This window comes from Homo sapiens, chromosome 15 (assembly GCF_000001405.40).
Source record: "Homo sapiens chromosome 15, GRCh38.p14 Primary Assembly".
Classification (NCBI taxonomy): domain Eukaryota; kingdom Metazoa; phylum Chordata; class Mammalia; order Primates; family Hominidae; genus Homo; species Homo sapiens.
Genome location: NC_000015.10, coordinates 57,246,719 through 57,269,309, shown reverse-complemented (window position 1 = coordinate 57,269,309; position 22,591 = coordinate 57,246,719). Strand labels below are relative to the sequence as shown.

General features: G+C 36.6%; 1 protein-coding gene and 1 pseudogene across 34 annotated transcripts in view; one reads left to right on the top strand and one right to left on the bottom strand.

Moving 5' to 3' along the window:
• TCF12 (transcription factor 12) overlaps window positions 1–22,591 on the bottom strand; it is a 373,221-nt gene that overhangs the window by 22,001 nt on the left and 328,629 nt on the right. For 18 of the 34 annotated variants that reach the window (XM_047432971.1, XM_047432972.1, NM_001322157.3 and 15 more), the window contains 4 exons: window positions 17,887–17,960; window positions 15,842–16,048; window positions 7,102–7,216; window positions 6,036–6,198 (listed from right to left, as the gene is read on the bottom strand). In XM_047432971.1, coding sequence (XP_047288927.1) covers window positions 6,036–6,198; window positions 7,102–7,216; window positions 15,842–16,048; window positions 17,887–17,960 — 559 coding nt within the window. Of the gene's footprint in view, window positions 1–6,035; window positions 6,199–7,101; window positions 7,217–15,841; window positions 16,049–16,817; window positions 16,890–17,886; window positions 17,961–22,591 lie in introns of all 34 variants that reach the window. The other 16 variants (NM_001322151.2, XM_011521960.4, NM_001322159.3 and 13 more) reach the window with 2 other exon arrangements.
• On the top strand, window positions 21,220–22,369 carry HNRNPA3P11 (heterogeneous nuclear ribonucleoprotein A3 pseudogene 11; annotated as a pseudogene).

Here is a 22,591-nt window from a genome sequence, read left to right as displayed (position 1 = left end):
CAACAAAGATCAAAAGAGACAAAGAAGGCCATTACATAATGGTAAAGGGATCAATGCAACAAGAAGACCTAACTATCCCAAATATATACACACCCAATACACGAGCACCCAGATTCATAAAGCAAGTTCTTACAGACCTACAAAAAGACTTAGACTCCCATACAATAATAATGGGAGACTTTAACACCCCACTGTCAATATTAGACAGATCAACGAGACAGAAAATTAACAAGGATATCCAGGACTTGAACTCAGCTCTGGACCAAGCGGACTTAACAGTCATCTACAGAACTCTCCACCCCAAATCAACAGAATATACACTCTTCTCAGCACCACACTGCACTTATTATTCTAAAATTGACCACATAATTGGAAGCAAAACACTCCTCAGCAAATGTAAAATAACACAAATCACAACAAAACGTCTCTCAGACCACAGTGAAATCAAATTAGAACTTCTCAGGAAAAAAAAAAAAGAAGTAAACAGTGGTTAATTCTGAATAGTGGTGTTTCTTGTGATTTTTGTGCATACTTTTCTGTATTTTCTACATTTCTGTAATGAAAATAGACTACATAATCAGAAAAAAAAACATATGAGGGAGATGCTCTGTAACAGCTTATAGAAAGTTCTATTTATGATTCAGATATAAATTACTGACCACAGCTTCTCAGAACCTTGAAATAATGTACAAAAATATTAGACATTTTTACCTCTTCTTTAATACCCTGAGTATTCTAATAAAAGAACAAGTACACAGGCCAGGCATGGTGGCTCGTGCTTGTAACCTAAGTGGTTTGGGAAGCTGAGGCGGGCATGGGAGAATTGCCTGAGTCCAGCAGCTTGAGGTTATTGTCCACTGCACTCCAGCCTGGGTGACAAACAGAGACTCTGTCCCTAAAAAGTATGCAATATTTAACCTGCTAATCATTAAGAATCATATAAATGCATTCTTTTGACAAAAGAAAATCACTGGTTCTTTGACTTCAAAAAGTCCTTTAAAGATCATCGAGCCCAGTGGTGTCCACAGATAGCCACTCATTAGAATCTCCAAGAGCACTTGAAAAATACAGCTTTCCAGGTCTCACTACCAGAGATGCTAGACTCACTAATTTAGTGAGTTTGGGTTGGGGCCCAGGCACCTGTATTTCTAAAATGTTCCAGGGTCTGGGCAGCAGGGTTGAGAACCACTTCAAGACCTAGGATCACAGAGCTAACTGGTGGCAGTATGATGATGAGATGTCAGCTCAGTGCTCCATGGAAGCAAGCCTACACCATACACTTAAAATTACCACCATAACACTACCACTGTAACAGTAGATATAGTATCTTTATTGAGTGCTTACTGTGTGCTAGACCGTGTGCAAAGGGTTTTACATGCATCATTTTCAGGTTATTCCTACAAGAATCCTGTAACAGAAAGTCTCCTTTTAGAGAAGAAGAAACTGAGCTCAAAGACTTGCCCAAAGTCACTCGGCAAGTATGTAATGGAACCACAATTCAAACCCTTATTTTGTCCAAAGGTCATGTTATTAACCTATTCATTATTATGGACTATTACTAACCTATTACACTGCCTCCTAATTTCTGATGACCTATAATATGGGTCAGCAAACTGATCTATGAGCTGGTCATCCTTTTTTGTAAGTAAAATTTTATTGGAACAGCGATACCCATTTGACTTTGGCTACTTTTGTCCTCTAATGGCAGTGGTAAGTAGCTGTGACAGAGACTGTATGTCCAGTAAAGCCTAATAATAGTCACTATTTGGGACTTTACAGAGAAAGTTTGCTGATTCCTGATCTATAAGAAGATGAATATGGAGGAAAGATGTAAATTGTTTCCCTTAAAATTCTATTTGAATAAAAACTATGTAAGAGTTAAGATGCCTCCAAAGAGTGGTCTCTGAATTCCTTGACACAGTTTTTTCCTTCCTTATGCCCCTGATAGTTGAGTACAATACATATTAAAGTAATAATATTAAGATCTTAAGATTTCCTTTTTCCCAAGATAAATGTTTAGGTGTTGAAAACAGTGAGAATGTCAAAAGAGCAAAAGGACACCTTTTAAGTTGTGAATGACAGAAAGGAACATTCTGCTTCTTTTAGTTTTATCTACCATCCTCATTGCACCATAATTCAACACAAAGAACAATGTTTTAAATCTGTATAAGATATATACACATATCATTGATAAATGAATATGTATGCCAAGAAATAGGGTGTACCACAAATATACTAAATGATCTAACTTTTAAATTTTCATTAGAAAAAAGTCTTTTTTTAGAGACAGCATCTCTCTGTTAGCCAGGCTAGAATGCAGTGGCATGATCATGGCTCACTATAGCCTCAAACTTCTGAACTCAAGCAATCTTCCTGCCTTACCCTCCCAAGTAGCTGGGACTACGGGTGTTTGCCACCATGCCCCGCTAATTTTTTGTAGAGACAGAATCTAGCTATGTAGCCCAGGCTGGTCTTGAACTTCTGGCCTCAAGAGATCCTCCTGCCTTAGCCACCCAAAGTGCTGGGATTACAGGCATGAGCCACTGTGCCTGGCCTAACTCATCTAATTTTAATGTAGAACTGGAAGAAAAATTTGAAGGAAAAATCCAGAAATCACTTGAAACTAATGTACTATGTGTCTATATTCATACTTCAAAGCAAAGTCAAGTCCATTTTCTAGAAAACTCCACGACAACATCATTCTGCCTAGAATATTTCCTTTTTCATACTTTTCTCAAATTACTATTTAATTGTTTGTTAAAAAGAAACATTTTTTCTGAAGGACCAGATGGTAAATATTTTCAGCTCTGATGGGCCATATAGTCTCTGTGGCAACTATTCTAGTCTGGCAATGCAGTATGAAAACAACCACAGACAATGGATAAATGAATGTGGCATGGTGATGTTCTAATAAAACATAAAAATAGGCAGCAGCCAGGCGCAGTGGCTCACGCCTGTAATCCCAGCACTTTGGGAGGATGAGGTGAGCAGATCACTTGAGGCCAGGAGTTTAAAACCAGCCTGGAAAACATGGTGAAACCTTGTCTCTATTAAAAATACAAAAATTAGCCAGGCATGGTGGCATCTGCCTGTAATCCCAGCTACTTGGGAGGCTGAGGCTGCAGTGAGCCAAGATCACCCCATGGCATTCCAGCCTGGGTGACAGCGAGACCCTGTCTTTAAATAAATAAATAAATAAATAAATAAATAAATAAATAAATAATAAAAACAAAAACAAAAATAGGCAGTGAGCTGGGTAGGCCCATGGGCCATAATTTGCTTGTTTAAATCAGAGTCTTACCATATATTTAGCCCTTATATTAATATACAGTTATGAGCCCATAACATTTCAGTCAATGAGGGACTACATACATGACAGTGGTCTTATTATACTGGAGCTAAAAAATGTCTATTATATAGTAATGTAGCTGTGGTAAGGCTGCAGCACAACACATTAGTCACGTTAACTCTTTGTTTGTTATAAACAAACCTACTGTGCTGCCAGTTGTATAAAAGCATGCAATTAAGTACAGTACACACTACAGTAAGTCCTCAATGTCATTGATCAGTTCTTGGAAACTGCAACTTTAAGGAAAATGACACATAATAAAACCAGTTTTATCATAGGTTAATTGATATAAATAAGAGTTAAGTCCCTACAGTACATTTCTGGTGACAAAATATCATCAAACTTCTAAATAAAAACCAAAATACACTTCTAATATTAAACAATGAAATAAATGTGAACTATGCATACATTTAAGAAAGACTCATAAAAATAAGTAAGATTATTATTTACCCAATTATTCCAGTTCAGGGTCGGGGGAGGCTGCAGCCTATCCCAGCAGCTCAGGGAGCAAGGTAGAAACAATCCTGGACGGGATGCCATTTCATTGCAGGGCACACTCACACATACACCCACACTCTCTCATACTGGGACAATTCAGACACATTACTCAACCTAATACGCACATTTTTGGGGTGAAGGAAGAAACCGGAGTACTTAGAGAAAACCCACATGAGGAGACATGGGAAGAATGTGCAAACTCCACAAACAAAGAGGCTCTAGCTAGGAATCAATTTTTTTTCTCATCATTTCACAAAATGATGTTCTTTGAGGACCTGCTGTACTTGATAATAATAATAACTAATTATGTTATTGGTTTATGTATTTATACTATACTATACTATACTATACTATACTATACTATACTATACTATACTATACTATACTATACTATTTATCATTAGAGTATACTTCTAACTTAAAAAAAAAAGTTGGCCGGGTGTGGTGGCTCACGCTTGTAATCCCAGCACTTTGGAAGGCCGAGGTGGGCAGATCACTGGAGGTCAGGAGTTCGAGACCAGCCTGGCCAACATGGCGAAATCCCATCTCTACTAACAATACAAAAATTCGCCGGGCATGGTGGCAGGCACCTGTAGTCCCAGCTACTCTGGAGGCTGAGGCAAGAGAACTGCTTGAACCCGGGAGGCAGAGGTTGCAATGAGCCAAGATTGTGCCACTGCACCCCAGCCTGGGCGACAAGACCTCAAGGCAGGTCCTTTAGGAGGTATTCCAGAAGAAGGCTTTGTTACCTTAGGAGAGACAGCTTCCTGCATGTTACTGCCTGTGAAGACATTCAGTGGGACAAGATGTGGAGGTGGAAGACAGTGATATTAATGATCTTGACCTTGTGTAGGCCTAGGCTAACATGTGTGTTTGTGTCTTAGTTTTTAACAAAAAAGTTTGAAAAGTAAACAAACAAACAAAAAACCACAAAATTTTAAAAATAGGAAAAAGCTTACAAAGGCCGGGTGCGGTGGCTCATGCCTGTAATCCCAGCATTTTGGGAGGATGAGGTGGGCAGATCACTTGAGGTCAGGAGTTCCAGACCTGCCTGGCCAACATGGTGAAACCCCGTCTCCACTAAAACTACAAAAATTAGCCTGGAGTGGTGGGGGGTGCCTGTAATCCCAGCTACTTGGGAGGCTGAGGCAGGAGAATCACTTGAACCTGGGAGGCGGAGGTTGCAGTGAGCCGAGATGATGCCACTGCATTCCAGCCTGGGCGAGAGAGTAAGACTCCACCTCAAAAAAAAAAAAAAAAAAAAAAAGCTTACAAAAGAACTTAAAGAAAATATATTTTTGTATAGCTATATAATGTGTTTGTGTTTTAAGCTATTATTACAAGAGTCAGAAAGTTAAAAATAATTTAAGTTTATAAAGTAAATGACATACAGTAAGCTAAGGTTAATTTACTATTGAAGAAAAATATTTTTTAATAAATGAAATATAGCCTAAATGTACAGTGTCTGTAAAGTCTACAATAGTGTACAGAAATGTCCTAGGCCTTCACATTCACTCACCACCTGCTCATTGAATCACCCAGAGCAATTTCGAGTCCTGCAAGCTCTATTCATGATAAGTGGCCTATACGGGTACCATTTTTTATCTTTTATTTTTACTGTGCCTTTTAGGTGTTTAGATACACAAATTCTTACCATTGTGTTACAATTGCCTACAGCACTCAGTTCAGTAACATGGTATACAGGTATACAGCCTAGGAACAACAGGCTAGGTTTGTGAAAGTATACTGTATGTTTGCACAATGATGAAATTGCCTAGCAATGCATTTCTTAGAATATATACCATTGTTAAGTGACACCTGACCATATTCAAATATTTATTGATCAAATCTATCTAAATGTCCGTACCACATGATTTAACTTCTTTTAGCTATTTTACCTTCTACTTATCTAACAGACTAAGCAACTTGAGTGAAGAGATATAATTATATTTTATATATAGTCCCTCAAATGGTATAGTATGAAGGAAAACATAATTTTGAAATCAAACCTTCATATACTTCTCTTTTATAGAGATGATGTGGTGATTAAATGAGACAACATACACAAAAATCCTAACACAATATCTAGAACATAGCTGACAGTTAATAAATGCATGACACCCAGCTTCTCAAGTATGTTTACCTATGGAAAATGAATAAAATTTAAAACCTGGATGCTAACAAATACCTTGTTCTGCCTCTAGATGAAACCTTGATATCTTTTTGGGAGGATTCATCATCTGACTTCATGTCATCTGATGAAGGAGGTTCATGAAGGTTTTCATCCTTTTCTTTGTTTTCAGTCTTGATTTCTGTTGTAACAACAGTTCCAGACTGACTTTGCAAGCCACCTAACAAAGAGGCAAAGGAAAGATAAAATAAAAGACGAGACTCATATATGAATTACAGCTAAGACAATAAAAAGCTTTCTAGCTGGTGAATATCCTTAGCAGTTACAGGGTTATGATGGAGGTTTGAAGATGTAGGAAAGTATACTATTTAGAGCTGAAAAGAATATATCCACATCCTTGTGCTTTTTAACAGCATTTGTATTTAGAAGAACAAGTCTGACCCCCATGACCAATTTAATGCTCACTTTCAGGCACTATTTAACAAATGAACAAGGATGAGAAACTATGTATTTTAGAAACTAACTTCTAAGATGTTGCAGAGGTAAAGGACATAAGCTTAACATCTTCCTGGATAAACAGTAAAACAGGCATCATGGTTAAATGTAACTGGGAGAACTTTATTTTGGTGATCTTATTTGCACTTTCAAGTGCTCTATCTTCACACTTACTTGTAAGCTCTATTGGAACAGTGATCAAGTTTGCTTTTTATCAAAATTGCATGTCTCTTCAATCAAATGATAATCTCTAAAACAACAGCTTCCATCATTCGGAGCTCTCAGTATAATCAGAAATATCTCTGTCAATGCCTCTAAAGACCATGAAGATACACTCATGAGGGAAAATGTCTGAGGAAGAGGGACATGACAGAACAGGAAGAGGTAAAAGATAACTGGTAAATACTGAACAATGGTCTGTACGTGGCTCTATTCATCAATAAGTATCTGTAATTGTCAACCTAGGTGGGCCAGTTGGAACCCTAAATATCTGCTCTCCACGCTATTTGGAATTCCCTCACCTCAATGACTTTTGATTCACAGATGTCAATCCAGCTGTGAGAAAGGTGACAGTGTTCCAAATGATATCTCTGTCTGCATTATTTCTGAAAACCAACAATATAGTTACCTCTATAATTTTCTTGTGTTTTATGGTTCAGGTCTGTGCTTGAAGTAGTGACTGTACTAGACAGGACTGAATGATTGCCATTGAGACTGACAGAGTCTTCCCGATGAGTTCCAACCTAAAGTTAAGGAAAACCCAAAAATAAAAAAAGATTAAGATAGTTCAGAGGCAATAACTGTCCAAATTATTTTACTAGGTTTAATAGAGAAAACAGTGTCACTCATCTGATTTCAGCAACTTTTTCTGGATGCCATTATTCTGGTTTTTGGGGAGAATTTCAAAATATTAATACTTCATAGCAGTACTGCTTTTAAATCAAACCAAAACATACCTTTTTTAAAAAATGAAACTTCTAATTTGTAAATTTTAAATCCCACAGAGGGTGTTTGTGAGAAGCAAATGAGCTGACAAAGCATTCTATAAGCCACAACGCACTACGTATTATAAATCAATCTGAAAATCTATTTCATATAATACCTAAATACATTAAAGTATGCATGAACTGGCATTTAACAAAATACTGCTACATTCCAAGCAATGCAAACACCATCAAACAGTCAGCTATTGCAGTATTAACTTACATAAAAAAACTTGTTACGGATGAAGTTTTTATTAGAATAGTAGCAGACGTGTCAACTAGAAGATTAAGCTTTTAATTAAATAGGTTTATTGGCTGGAGTTATACATGAGAACCACTGTTTTTCAATAAATCCTTCAATCCTAGTAAACTGCCAAGCTTTGAATCCCTCTTGAGTAATTAATATAGCTTTTATCTTCCATGACTTTGCATGATTTTACCCTAAGAGGAATAAATACCCCTATGCAAGTTTATCCTTTGGTTTTTCTGTGAACTAAACAAAAGGAACCAAAGCAAAATTTTAGGCAATGCAGGTCATTTGGTAGTAGATCTAATTAGAATAGATTCGTTCTTCCACCACACTTTCCATGAAATGTTTGTCTTTTACACTTATTCTCATCTTTATTTTTAAGAAACATAGCCATTTAGTGGATTTTAAAATTTAATTTAATAGTTACTTTTAAAATGATTTTAGGATTGGTCATTGCTGAGCATTATTTGTGTCACTACTCCCTTGGGTAATAATCATGCCTCCACTACACCCTTTCTCTAAACCACACAATTTCACGATGTATTAGAATCACAAAACCTTAAAGCTGGGAAGGGACCACAGAAACTATGGCAGACTTCCATCCTACTTCCCACTTTCAGAAAGTTTTAGTATTTGGTTGTTCCCCTAAAAAAACTTGAGAAGAATCTGAAGTACTCAACCTAACAATCAGTAAAGAAATGGACTGTGAAAATTGTATTCAAGAGAACAAATTATTTTTAAAATGTTTCATGAAATTCTGTTTCAAGGGTATCCTGGTCTTGTTTATTCTTAACGAATGAGGGTGCTTTCTTACTATGAAGTACTCAGTGATCTAAGAGGAAAGGAAGTTCAAAATCCCATTTTATAAAAATAGATATGGGCAAACATAATATACGGCTGCAAATTCTTTGGAACCTTGGAAGATTAGGCCTACTCTAAAGATTAAATAAATCTAGGAGAATTTTGACGGGCTGGGGAAATAATTGTAAGTTAAAGTAAAAGCTGAGGTGTATTTGTATTTATAATAATGTGGACTTAAAACTTCTATGACCCCTGGCAATATATACTAATTCTGTTTTACATAACATTTTGAACTATCACACCAAGTAATTTAAAAAACAGCCTTCTAAAATTTAAATTTTAAACATATGTATACTTAGTGTATGTTATACATGTGAAACATTTTATAGCTATGTAAGACAATACTACTGAACAGTAACAAATTGAATTTTCACTTATCTAAGTGATGATTCATCTGCTGAATTCTGATTTCCTTTTACTTCATCAGTATAAATAATTATTTGATTTTTTTAAAGCTCAACTATTAAAAAGTGTCTGATCATTACCTAAATAATAAATCTTAGAAATTTTACTTTTCCCTTAAGGAAAATCAGAATGGGTGCTAGATTTGTTTTGCAACAGAAACACCAGGAAATATTTTTACACTATAGAACAATACAAACTAAGTATTTTCTCACACGAACTTAAACATAATTAGCTTACAAAAGAAAAAATTTAACTGGCACACATAGCAAAAATATAAGCCTTTAAAAAAATGGCCTCAGACTAGACGAAGGCTTGAAGTCTGGAGTTTTTCATGTCAATGAAGTTAGCAGGAACTTTTTCTTTGTAACTTGATTCTCCTTGCAAATGGCCCTCATATATTTTCTGGAGAATTTGACTTTCACAGTTCTTATAGTTCTCTTTAACCCTTGCTCTCCTGGGCTCCCATGTCTTCCCTTTAATCCGCAGCTCCACATTCAAATGGCTCTGTCTACACATACAACAGGTGTATAAACAGTTCTTTGTCTGAGCCTAGAGCCTGTGGGGCCAGCCAGATAGGACTCGGTTTAATTGTTCACCTCGTTAGCATACAGCTGACAGGCTGCCGCTGTTAGGGGAGTAGCAGGGCAAGGCAAACCCCAAGGCCTGCTACCCTCCACGTTTCAATGATTATGAAGAGCTCCATTTCAGAATAAAAGGCCCATGCCATTAAATGACACCATCCTGCATACTCAATCTTCACAATCTATGTATGGCCTTACTTTTCTGGAAGCACCCAACAAGGGACTTGTTTTCATTTAATTTGGCCGATGGCTTTAGCATTCACAATGGAAAAATGTTAAATCTAATTAGTTGATGAATAAGAGAGGTCTTGTGAATTGAGGGACAAACTGGAAAACAGCATGAATTCCTCTTGATTTTGAATCGTATTCTAATAATTTGTACCATTCACTGAATACTAATGATTTAAATTAATCACTATTAATACACAGATTGCTTAAAGGATCTTTACATACTGTCTACTCCAAGATTTTGATTTATCTGAAGAGAGGTTTTACTAGAAACTTGGTAGTATTACATTTGTTACAGTTCCTTTTACATATTTCCATAAATGTATATAACCTCTATGGCTTTCAAATTTTAAAAAAGTTGCCATTTTGAACAATTTTATATTTTAAAATGTTACCAAAACCCTTAAAAAAGCACTATAATGTCGTCTTAATAAAAATAAAAATTTAAAAAATTGCCCATTTAGGAAAAAATTACTTGCAGAAAGCAAAAAAGTGGTTAAAAGTAAAATCTTTCTATTCAGTTGAAACATAGACACATAATTTCTACCGTATTACAAACCCCATTACTAAAATTAAATACTGTCCAAATGGAAGATTAAAATGATTTCAAATTTATTTTGATAAATGACAAAAATGCCAAGATAATTTTGAATAAAATATTACCCTATTTGCCTGTCAGTCTTTACTTAAAGTCTCCTGTAACTAAGAAAAATATAGTTTCTCTAATTGCTTTAAAATTTAGAAAACAGACATGATTTATATTTTTAAATCATTATATAGGGTAGCCTTACACTTTACAATTTAACATTAGTTACTACGCTCTCATACAAGAATATGTCACTTCTTCAACCACCCCTTAACAACAAAAAACCCAAGCAATACCAAAAAATAACTAAGAGAAATACCTGTATTAAATTTTATCAGGACTTATAACAATGAATCAAAAGATCTCACAAATGAAATTTTATCCTATGTCATGAATAAGAAACTGTTTAGATCTGCATCAAGCTTCCATTAGTACAAAATGCTTCGAATTTCATTTAGTTTTGGTTTGAAGTTGAAGTTACTGTCTGACTGAGGAATAACCGTACTTTTCATTAAAGAGAAAGGTGTTTTGATGGAGTTACCTTGTTGGGCCTAGGTACTTAGGTATTACGGCCATAAATCAATGGGATGTCGCTAACTTTATATTGCAGAGAGCTCTTTTTATTGCTCCAATGAAATTCACGATTCCCCTTTTTTTTAAATTGATACAGGGTCTCACTTTGTCACTCAGGGTGAAGTATGGTGGTGTGATCACGGCTCACTGGAGCCTTGAACTCCTGGCTCAAGTGATCCTCTCACCTCTTTCTCACAAGTACCTGGGATTACAGGCATGCGCCACCACATGTGGCTAAGATGAGGTCTCCCTATGTTGCCCAGGCTGGTCTTGAACTCCTAGGCTCAAGCAGTAGTCCCACCTTAGCCTCCCAAAGTGCTGGGATTACAGGTGTAAGCCACCATACATTGCTAAAATTCATGATTCCTTTTATTTTCAGTTTTCTACTAAAAAATTTTCCTTCTTCTCAGCAGTTTATTCTAAAAGTTTAGCCTTACGCTAAATAAATGGGAACAAAACTAAAGCCAAATGCTGACATTTCAATAGTTCTAAAAACTCTTGATTTCGCGCTTTAAAATTTAAATGATATATCAGTATCAAATACTAATGAGAACAAGGAAATGCTCAGCCAAATGGTTACTGTGTCCGTGTAGACCTTACACTGCTAGTAACCTTGATCACTGACTTGTCCGTACTGCAGGCTGGGAGCTGACCTGTCTGTACCACTATATATATATATATATATATATACACTTTTTTTTTTTTTTAAGAGACAGGGTCTCACTCTGTTGTCCAGGCTCAACTGCAGTGGCATGATCATGGCTCACTGCAGCCTCAAACTTCTGAGCTCCAGCAATCCTCCTGCCTCAGCCTCCTGAGTAGCTGGGACCACTGGTGTATGCCACCATGCCCAGTTAATTAAAAATTTTTTTTTTGTAGATACAGGTTCTTACTTTGTTGTCCAGGTTGGTTTCAAACTCCTGCTTCTAGCAATCCATCGAGAATGGCCTCCCAAAGTGCTGAGATTACAGGTGTGAAACACCATGCCTGGCCTGTACCACTTTTATCCTGCCATCAACTCTTACTCTTCCACTACCAGTGGATCCTGGCTTGCCTCAAGTATTCCAATTACTTCAATAAAACTCTCAAACTACTCATTAACATAAGCCAAACGTTATAGGCTCCAAGAAAAAGAAAAACATGCTAACCCCATTATATCTGCTTAGGTGCCAATTTATAAGCAGGAATTCCCAAGGTCTGGCCTGTAGCCAAATCTTGACCTATGTTTTTGTAAATAAAGGAGCTTGTTTTTGTAAATAAAGTTTTATTGGAATACAGCCGTGCCCATCTGTTTTCATATTATCTATAGCTGCTTTCACATTACATTGTCAGAGTTAAGTAGTTGTGACAGAGACTATACAGCCTACAAAGCTGAAAATATTTACTCTCTGGCCCTTTATAGAAAAAGCATATCAAACCCTTTTCTAAATGCTAGGAGGAAGAGTGATATATTTAAACCCTACAATTAGGATGCTGCCCATTAGGATAAAGTTCCATTATAACAAAAATGTCATCTGAATGCTCTGTGGAGGTCCTGAAAATATCTACGTTTATCAGAATACTTCTATTCTCTGCAATAAACAAATGGAATAATGAAAGGCAAATGTCTTTGAAAGAAGCTGACCTCATGAATTCTATATGGTGGTACCAAATTGCTGATCAACAAGTATTTCTGTGATCACTTTGTAAGTCTGGCCATATAGCCTCCATTATTAGGAGCCCAAAACAAATACTAACTTATGTTAATTCCGGAAAAAATCGACAAACTTCTGGAAAGTTATAAGAGACCAAAAACAAGGTGGGGCGGGGTGGGGGTGGGGGTGGGGAATCGATTCCAGAATGTAAAACCACATTATTTCTTAGTCATGATTAGTTAGGAGGATGTATTGTTGTGACAAGGGGACAATAAAAGCTGGAGATTAACTCTTGGAGCCAGTTGGCAAGAGTTACAAAAACATGCCCCCAAAATCACACACTCTGAAAGAATATGAAGAGTTGATTCCATATAGGTGGGTGCTGAGCATGTAAATAAAGTGATCCCAGCAGTACTAATGGAAGCCCTCAGACACGGAAAAGAACCACCACGATAAGACAGTCTTCCTCAATAACATGCCTAAGACTCTGCGGGGATAGTCAGTGGCAGACTAATCTTCATTTCATTCCATCCTTTGGTCTTTTTGCTGAAGCTGAGAACTGAGGACTCAACAGCTAAAAGGCTTACTTCAGAAGGACAGGAGATGAATACTGACTCACCTAACAGTGTCAGATTTTGTCAGCTAGTAACTTTATATTTTGAGGCTAAGCCTGCCAGATACATCTTATCTCCACTACTAAAAGTACTAGTGATTGTGTCTGGATGAGATGAAGATAGCAGATGATTTCTGGCAGATTTTCCACAGCTCTGTACCCGCTGAGAAGGTGATAAGGACTGAAGAGAAGGCTGTGACAGACACACTGAACAACAGCTTGGGCTAGTTGCTGTGGCACTAATGTTGCAGCTCAGACTAAGCCAGACTCACTTCATGTCTCAGAAGACCATTTTTTCTAGACTAATTTGAGATTTTTTTTTTCTTTTTACGAATATCTCTGGCCGGGTGCAGTGGCTCACACCTGTAATCCCAGCACTTTGGGAGGCCGAGGTGGGCGGATCACAAGGTCAGGAGTTTGAGACCAGCCTGGCCAATATGGTGAAACCCCATCTCTACTAAAAACAGAAAAATTAGCCGGACGTGGTGGCGGGTGCCTATAATCCCAGCTATTCGGGAGGCTGAGGCAGGAGAATTGCTTAAATCTGGGAGGCAGAGATTGCAGTGAGCCGAGATCACGGCACTGCACTCCAGCCTGGGCCACAGAGTGAGACTCCATCTCTAAAAGCAAAACAAAACAAAAAACAACAACAAAAAAATACCTCTGGCAGACCTTCTGTTGTTGTTCTGAAGTGGGCAGTGCATTCCTTCAGCATATAGTAGGAGCTACTTTCTTAGTTATAAGTTTTAGGGTGCCATCCAATGAAAGAGTTTTTCCCTCTAACAGTCTTCTAAAATGCACTAGGTTTCTAGGTGGCTTTGGAGGACTACATTTTGATAAGTCTCCCTTTCTATTATGGAATATCTGAAATTGGTAAAAAAACAACTTTCTCAAGACAGAAGTTCCATTTTATGCAAACTCCAACTGGGAGGAGCCAGATATATAATAAATACTGTAGCTGATAAGTTGGAATAGGAGCAGTAAGCTAGTAAAAGTGAAGAATTAAAAAATCATTAAGAGGTAAGGAATAAGAACTGCAAATGTTGCTGCTGAGACTAACTTAAAATTCAAGAATATTGATTTTTAAGTCATGCTTCTAAATAAGGATAAATAGTATTTCAACAAATTATTAAGTTATTCTGCATTCACATTTGTAACAAATTCCTTTTATTATACCATTAAAATTATTTCATTACTATTACCAGCAGTGATAACAATACCCTCTCATATTTTTTTCTTTCTTTCTTTTTTTTTTTTTTTTTTTTGAGACAGGGTCATGCTCTATGGCCTAGGCTGGAGTGCAGTAGCATGAACATGGCTCACTGCAGCCTTGACCTCCTGGGATCAAGAGATCCTCCCACCTAAACCTTCCATGTAGCTGGGACCACAGGCGCATGCCACTGTGCCAGACTAATTTTTTTTTATTTTTTGTAGAGATGAGGGTCTCACTTTGTTGCCCAGACTAGTCTTGGAACTCCAACCAATCCTCCCGCCTTGGCCTCCCAAAGTGCTGAGATTACAGGTGTGAGCCATCTGACACTTCCCCATTTTACTAGTTTAATAACTTACATATGTTTTGACACTTATTAGCTTATCAATAGCAATAAAAAGTACTTTAAAAGGAGACTGATTTTCAAGATTTCCTGACATTAAAAAAACAAACACAAAACAGGTATCTAATGTTACCCATGCTGCTGAAAATACAGTTCTCAGAAAACAAGCAGCCTTGTGTGACGTTTACTTCAGAGGCTCAAAAATGAGTGTATGTATGTGTAAGATATGTGAGTGTGAAAATCTGGAACCAACCCTATCTTACAGAATACAAGCCTTCAGCATTTAGGGCAATTAATTATTTTGATGATAGGTAAGTTTTTAGCCTTCATCACATGGCTTATAGCTAAAAATCTGCTTCGTAGAAGAACATTTCACAGCATGCAATGAACCTTAAAAACCATGCCATAAACATGCCAACACATGGTATAAGTTTAAAATAGCAGGTTCAAAAAGAACTTCATTTCTTTAAAAGATAATTTGGATAAAAAATAATGTAAGATGGTAAACACAGAATTTTTGATGTGTATGGCTGTAGAACGAACACCCCCTTTAAAAATTATCATACTTTTTTAAAAGATGGACTGAGTTCTTAAAAATTCTCTTTGTGGATTAATCTAAAATTGTTTCCTTTATTTATTACTGAAATTACAGCCATTCTTAAAACTACCTCCCCCGCAGTTCGGGAATAAAGTTTAAATTTGGATCTGTATAAATTACAGTTTCACATTCTTTCTACCACTGAAGGCTGGTTCTAAATTACAATAAACAACTTTTCTAGATCAGAACTCTTGCTATTCAGATTTCTTATGCACTATTTCAAGGCAAAAACTGCTGTGCCAATTATTACACATCTGGAAAAAAATCCAAGTTTTAGCTAAAAATGATCTCTGTAGAAAGCTTATGCTTTTTGCACAAGGTCACAAGAAGATTTTATGGACTAATACTTAGCCAATACTTTACTGCCAAAGACAGTAAAGAAAATTCTGAAAAGTCAGTCTTTGCCTTCCTTTCAGAAAGATCCTCTTCCCAAAGATTTCATTAAAGACATTTAGGACAAGAATCTTTAGGGTTTACTACAAAAAAGATGAGCATGATTTTACCATTGAAGCTGATCGACTGCTTGCAACAAGGCTTGATCCTCCATAGTTTGAATTGAGGCTTCCAATTGGTGCATTATGGGATGGTCCCAATAAACTATGTATATCACTGTGACCAGCAGGCAAACTGGTGGAAGGTCCCACAGCATGGTTCCGCAGCACATGGATTGCATCATCCAGTCTGTCTAAACGATCCTCCATTCGAGACTGCTGTATGGATTAAAAAAAAAACATGGTGGTTATTGCTGGCATCTGTTAGATTCATTAACTGCTACGTTTCCTACTATGTGATATGTGGAAGATAGCAAGTGAAATGCAGTATCAAGTAGCTTCAAAAGCAACCACCTGAACTATAAATCAACAACAAAAAAAGGCTGTATGTATGTAGATTATGCTAAATTTTCAAAGCTTCAGAAACAAATCACTGCTTTATAAAACGAATTTACCAAACTACCATGAGGTTATTTCTTTTAGCTTCTACAAAAAATGAAGGATACTATGTCATTTCTCAATAAGAGCTGCCAAAAAAAAAAAAAAAAAAAAAGTACAACCTATACTTTAATACTGATCTTTGAATGATGGCAATTTGGGGAAGGGACCTCAAATCCAGTAAGTTTAAGTTTTAATTTTGTCTTAAGTATATAAAGCACATGTAACTTATATGGTGAACATATCCAGATATGTTCTTTGACAAAACTAAATAAATGGTATTGTCTGTCTGTGGATACACACATGCCCCATACACAAACATATTAGAATTAAAAAAATCAAAAGCACATGCCAGTAGAGCTGTTTTAAAAAGGATCACTTTCAACAACATAAGAGACAAAATTATTCCTATATACTGTGATAAAAACTGAAACAGTCAACTGTTTGATTTTTAAAGATGGGAGTCTGTACAGCTTAAAGATTTTAAATGAATAGTGGGAAGTATAATTAATTGAAACACAAAAAAGGCACCATCTAAAAGAAATAGTACCTCACAGACATCCTTTAAGAAGGACATTGCATCTTGCAAATGCTCGTGAAGTTGCTGCTCAACTCGATTTTTCTGGCAAAGTCAAGACAGAACAGGAGGCAAAGCACAGGTTAAGATTAACTCCAAAAGAGATGAGGAAATAGCTGATATGCATGTCAGCATAACATGTTAGTAAAGTTAACGCCAAGACTTGCGAGATCTATTTTATTAAGATATGAAAAGGCTGGGATTCAACAGGGAAGTTACAAGGTTAGCATCTAAACAGCACACATTGCTTATAATTGCTTGCAAAATATATGAGAAGCAAACGTTCCTTCAATTTAAAATGTTTTGTTAGTCACAGAAAAAGAATGTTTCTCTTTGCAACCTGGAATTACGAATAAGAGCATGACTTAGCATTCCATCAAATCATCTTTATTGTGTTTTTATTATACCGTGTAATTCTGGGTTACAAATATAAGTATACAAAAGCAACAGTAGTCAACATTCTCCCACAAATTCTTCACGCTCAAATATCTAGAAGGTTCCTTTACTGCCTTGTTAAATAATGTTTTGCTTGTATAATTTGCACAATATACTTTTTTTTCCATAAGAAAACATGGGAAATAATACTTTCATGACAAAAAACACTGGTATTCACTTAAAATTTTTAATGGAAATGTAATAAACCACACACAGTATTATGAGAAAGTGTAAAATACAAAAGGGTAAAATTTTGCATTGCTGGATTAAATTTTCTTGCTTTTACTTGTCTTTTTAAAAAAAGTTTCCCTTTATATGTAGACATAGAAGCATAGAAAGATTAAGCCCTAGATTTGTCAAAGAAACAAAAACCCTCATAACACAATTTTAACATCAGCTGTCCTGACACCAGAAGCCTGATGTCCCAAAGAACAGATGGCAAAAGGCATACCCAATGTGTCTTATATTGTTCAAATGAATCAGCCATTTGTTAGCAAAGAATTCATGTGCAATGCTAGCCTACTGTTTCTTTATTGTTATGCCAGATTGACCAAAAACAAACAAACTCTAAGCTATCAGATAAAACTGATGTATAAGAGGCTCTTACCAGGGAGTGGAGTGAGTTTTCATAGCTTGGGGATGAAGGTGCTTGCCCTCCAGGTCTTGGCCACTGACTGGTACCTGTTAAAACCCAAAAGTAGCCACACACCTGGGTTAACTCAGTGATCTTGATAATGTTGTGAAGGAAAGGGTAAAGATACTCAATAACTAAATAAATTTACATGAATATTTTTGTTTGGCCTTCAGCATAGTATTGGCTACTTATAAGCCCAACACATTTTAAAAAATCTTTCATTATTAATAAAAAAAATGGGGTGCTGAGAAAACAGAAAAAAAACCCTGTAATTTTAAATACAGCTACCTTTATGTTTGCACATTCTTTAGACTTAGTCCACATGCCTATGTATCTTGAGAAAATGCACTTATAACGTACACACTTTTAAAATTCTGTCCCCCTTCCTATAGCATTGTACAGAAATTTTGATAATACTATTAATGACTACATTATTATTTCCCTTATTCTCTACACCTAGTCTGTTTTTTTGGTTTTGTTTCTTCTTTTTCTTTTTTTTTTTTGAGATGGAGTCTCACTGTCGCCCAGGCTGGAGCGCAGTGGCACGATCTTGGCTCACTGCAACCTCCACCTCCTGAGTTCAAGCGATTCTCCTGCCTCTGCCTCCCGAGTAGCTGGGATCACAAGTGTGTGCCACCACGTTGGCTAATTTTTTTTCTTTTTTTTTTGAGATGGCATCTTGCTCTGTTACCTGGGCTGGAGTGCACTGGTACAATCTTGACTCACTGCAACCTCTACCTCCCAGGTTCAAGCGATTCTCCTGCCTCAGCCTCCCAAGTAGCTGGGATTACAGGCACACACCACCACGCCAAGCTAATTTTTGTATTTGCAGTAGAGACAACGTTTCACTACGTTGGCCAGGCTGGTCTCGAACTCCTGACCTTAAGTGATCCACCCGCCTCAGCCTCACAAAGTGGTGGAATTACAGGTGCCAGCCATTTTGCCTGGCTTCTACACCTAATTTGCTTAGCCACTATTATTTCACTGCTAGACATTTTGGTTGTTACCACTCGGCTATTATGAACAGTGATATAGTAAACATTACTCTTGAGTTTTTTTCCCCCAGGGGGAAGGATGTTTTGAGGATAAGTAGCATTTCTGAATCAAAGGGTATAAATATATTAACGTAAGGACAAATTGCCTTACTAAGGGGTAATAGTAACTGACAGTGCCTTTAGCAATACACAGATGAATGAATTTCCCATGACTGTAAATGATCTTGGGGTCATCTATTAAAAAATTTCCCAAAATAGTTTATACCAAATACATTAATTAGGAAAATGTTATAAAAACTTGTTAGATGTTGTTTAGCCTTTGATGTTAGAAAGGTATAAATCTAATTTAAAAAATAAAGATAGAAAAAGAAAAGATACAAGTTCAGAGTATAAAGAATGAAAAAAAAGAAGCATAAAAAAATAATTCATCCATATGTTAGAGAGAAGGCAATGTTTTAATGGTCTTGCGAAAATACCTTTCAAAGGAAAAAGACAAAAACAACTGATCAAAATCTTCATTATTTCACGATTGTGCATCTGAAAATAAGTCATTTACAGAAAATAATAAAGACTAAATATATTTTTATTCTTAATAAAAGCTTCAGTGACAATTTGAATTATATTAGAAATCGAAGTTGGAAGTTGAAGGTTTAATTTGTCTCACACTAGAACCTTTTATTGCAGGTCAATTTGCCTTACTTAGGAAGCTAATGTGACACTACAATTTATTTGCTATCTTAGAAAAACTTGAGGTAAATTAGAACTATTATAGTTCATTTTAGCTGAACAAGACTATTTAATTATGAAACAATGTAGTAAGTGTATTCATCAATTATACACATTTTGCAAGTTGAAAAGTTGGATACAGATTCTTCATAACCTGATTAGATTTCACAATTATATGCATACTGTTATAATTACATAAATATACTTTAAATACTAAAATTGTGAGAAAAAATATGCACTTCAGTTAATTTTTTTTTTTTTACTTATGAGCAAATTATAAACAAATTATTTTAAGGACCATTAAAGGCTTCCTGCTAGACATACAAATGTAATCATAAATCAACTACAAATTATGGACAATCTAAAATTGCTCATTGAAACAAAAGCTTGTGGGCTAATTTTATAATTAAAAGGCAGAATTAATCAACCAGAAAATCTCAATAACTGACTATATGAAAAATATATAAAAACAACTAGCCAACACCTTACTGCTGATTTCAGTGCATTACTGCTTTCTAAGCACTGATGCAGAATTATGAATTTTAGGTGACCAGGTTAATCATAATCGATTTTGAAAAATACCTTTAATTATTAAAAAAGAATTTATCTTAATGTTGGTAATATTTTACTTTTCAATCATTTTTTCTACTCCTTCTGTAAGCCCCCCCGTAACAGAAGCCTGATCATCAAATTACTGACTTTGTGTGCAATATTAACACGTTTTACGTTCAAATGCCTCAGAATTGTCAGCATGCATCTGCTTTTGCAAAACAGGCTGTTTTTGAGATTGTTCATTAGCTTAATATTGAGGAATCAAGATGTGCACACTGAATTACCTGGGTAATCATCTACATAATTTTTGGTGCTATTAAAAAAACTGTACAAAGGTCTATCTTCAATGTGTAATTCATTAAACTGGAAAAAAATATACATACACTTAAACTTATTTTGTTTGTATTACAGACTGGCCCGTTCCAGTGTAACGCACTTTGTTAAAGCATGCTGAAGTCAGGTAACTGACTTAACACCAGGCAATCTGACAGGTAATAAAAATAAGTAGCTCATTGATTAGCTGAAACTGAGAATTTCTCTTTCTCTCCTTATTATTTTTTTCTGTGAAAGCTCTGAAGATTACTACTGAGTACTACAATTATTGAACTTTTATTCATTTATATTCCAGAAGGAGGTAATGAAAGGCAAAGGATGACTTTGCTTGTTTGCCTTCCAAGCTCCCTTAGTAAACTTATTCTCTTACTGCAAATGCTCATCTTTTCCTAAATAACAACTGTAGTAAACAAAGCCATTCCTCTCTTCTATCTTGTGGCCAGAGCACTGATTTTGTTCACAAGGGGTGTGGGAGGTGGGTCTGTCCTTTCCTAATAGGAACCAGGAGAGAGCAATTCTATTCTTAGCCCCAGGGACAAATCCAGATGCTAAGATAAACATGGTGGCACCATTTCTCTTGCAAGCAACTGCATTAGGCCCAGTGCTGGCCAATAAGACGTAAGGGGAAATCTGTTTAAGAGGCTTCTGGAAAAGGATCCTTAAAATAATTTTTAAAAGACTCTCAAAAGAAAGAGATGGGATACTGAACTTGAGTTGGAAGACATGAGTCCAGTTGTCTGGTCTCAAAATGGAGGTAAAACCGCTGCCCAACTGCAGCCGTTGCCACCACTGTGGGGGTGGGGTGGTGGGGGAGAAGGGCCATGATTCAAAGGAACCAGAGCTTTTGCAAAAACTTTTTACTGGTGGTCTGAGCTTTGAAACTACAGATGATAGTTTAAGAGACATTTTGAGAAATGGGGCACACTCACAGATTGTGTGGTAATGAGACCCCAAAAAACACGTTCCAGGGGCTTTGGTTTTGTGACTTACTCTTGTGTTGAAGAGGTGGAGGCAGCAAGGTGTGCTAGACCACACAAGGCTGACAGGTGTGTAGTGGAACCAAAGAGAGCTCTTTCTATAGAGGATTCTGTAAAGTCTGGTGCCCATCTAACAGTGAGGAAAATTTTTGTTGGTGGTATTAAAGAAGAAACAGAAGAATATAATTTAAGAGACTACTTTGAAAAGTATGGCAAGATTGAAACCGCAGAAGTTATGGAAGACAGGCAGAGTGGAAAAAAGACAGGATTTGCTTTTATAACTTTTGATGATCATGATACAGTTGATAAAATTGTTGTTCAGAAATGCCACACTATTAATGGGCATAACTGTGAAGTAAAAAAGGCCCTTTCTAAACAAGAGATGTAGTCTGCTGGATGACAGAGGTCACAGAGGTAGATCTGGCAATTTTATTATGGAGGAAACTTTGGAGGTGGTAGAGGTAGTTTTGGCTGTGGTGGAAACTCTGATGGAAGAGGAGGCTATGGTGGTGAAGGTGGTGGCAGCAGAGGTAGTTATGGAGGAGGTGATGGCGGATATAATGGTTTTGGAGGTGATGGTGGCAACTATGGTGGTAGTCCTGGTTACAGTAGTAGAGGGGGCTATGATGGTGATGGACCAAGGATATGGTGGTGGTGGTGGAGTGACGGTGGAGTGAAGGAGGAAATTTTGGCGGTGGTAACTACGGTGGTGGTGGGAACTATAATGAGTTCGGAAATTATAGTGAACAACAGCAATCAAACTATGAACCCATGAAAGGGGGCACTTTTGGTGGAAGAAGCTCAGGCATTCCCCATGGTGGTGAAAGTGGTGGATATGGTAGCAGAAGGTTCTAAAAACAGCAGAAAAGGGCTACAGTTCTTAGCAGGAGAGAGAACGAGGAGTTGTCAGGAAAGCTGTAGGTTACTTTGAGACAGTTGTCCGAAAGGCATTAGAGGAACTGTAAAAATCTGCCACAGAAGGAACAATGATCCATAGTCAGAAAAGTTACTGCAGCTGAAACAGGAAACCATTCTTGTTCAGGACTGTCAGAGCCAGTTTGCAAAAAGTGCAGCTACTGACTAATGCAATGTAGT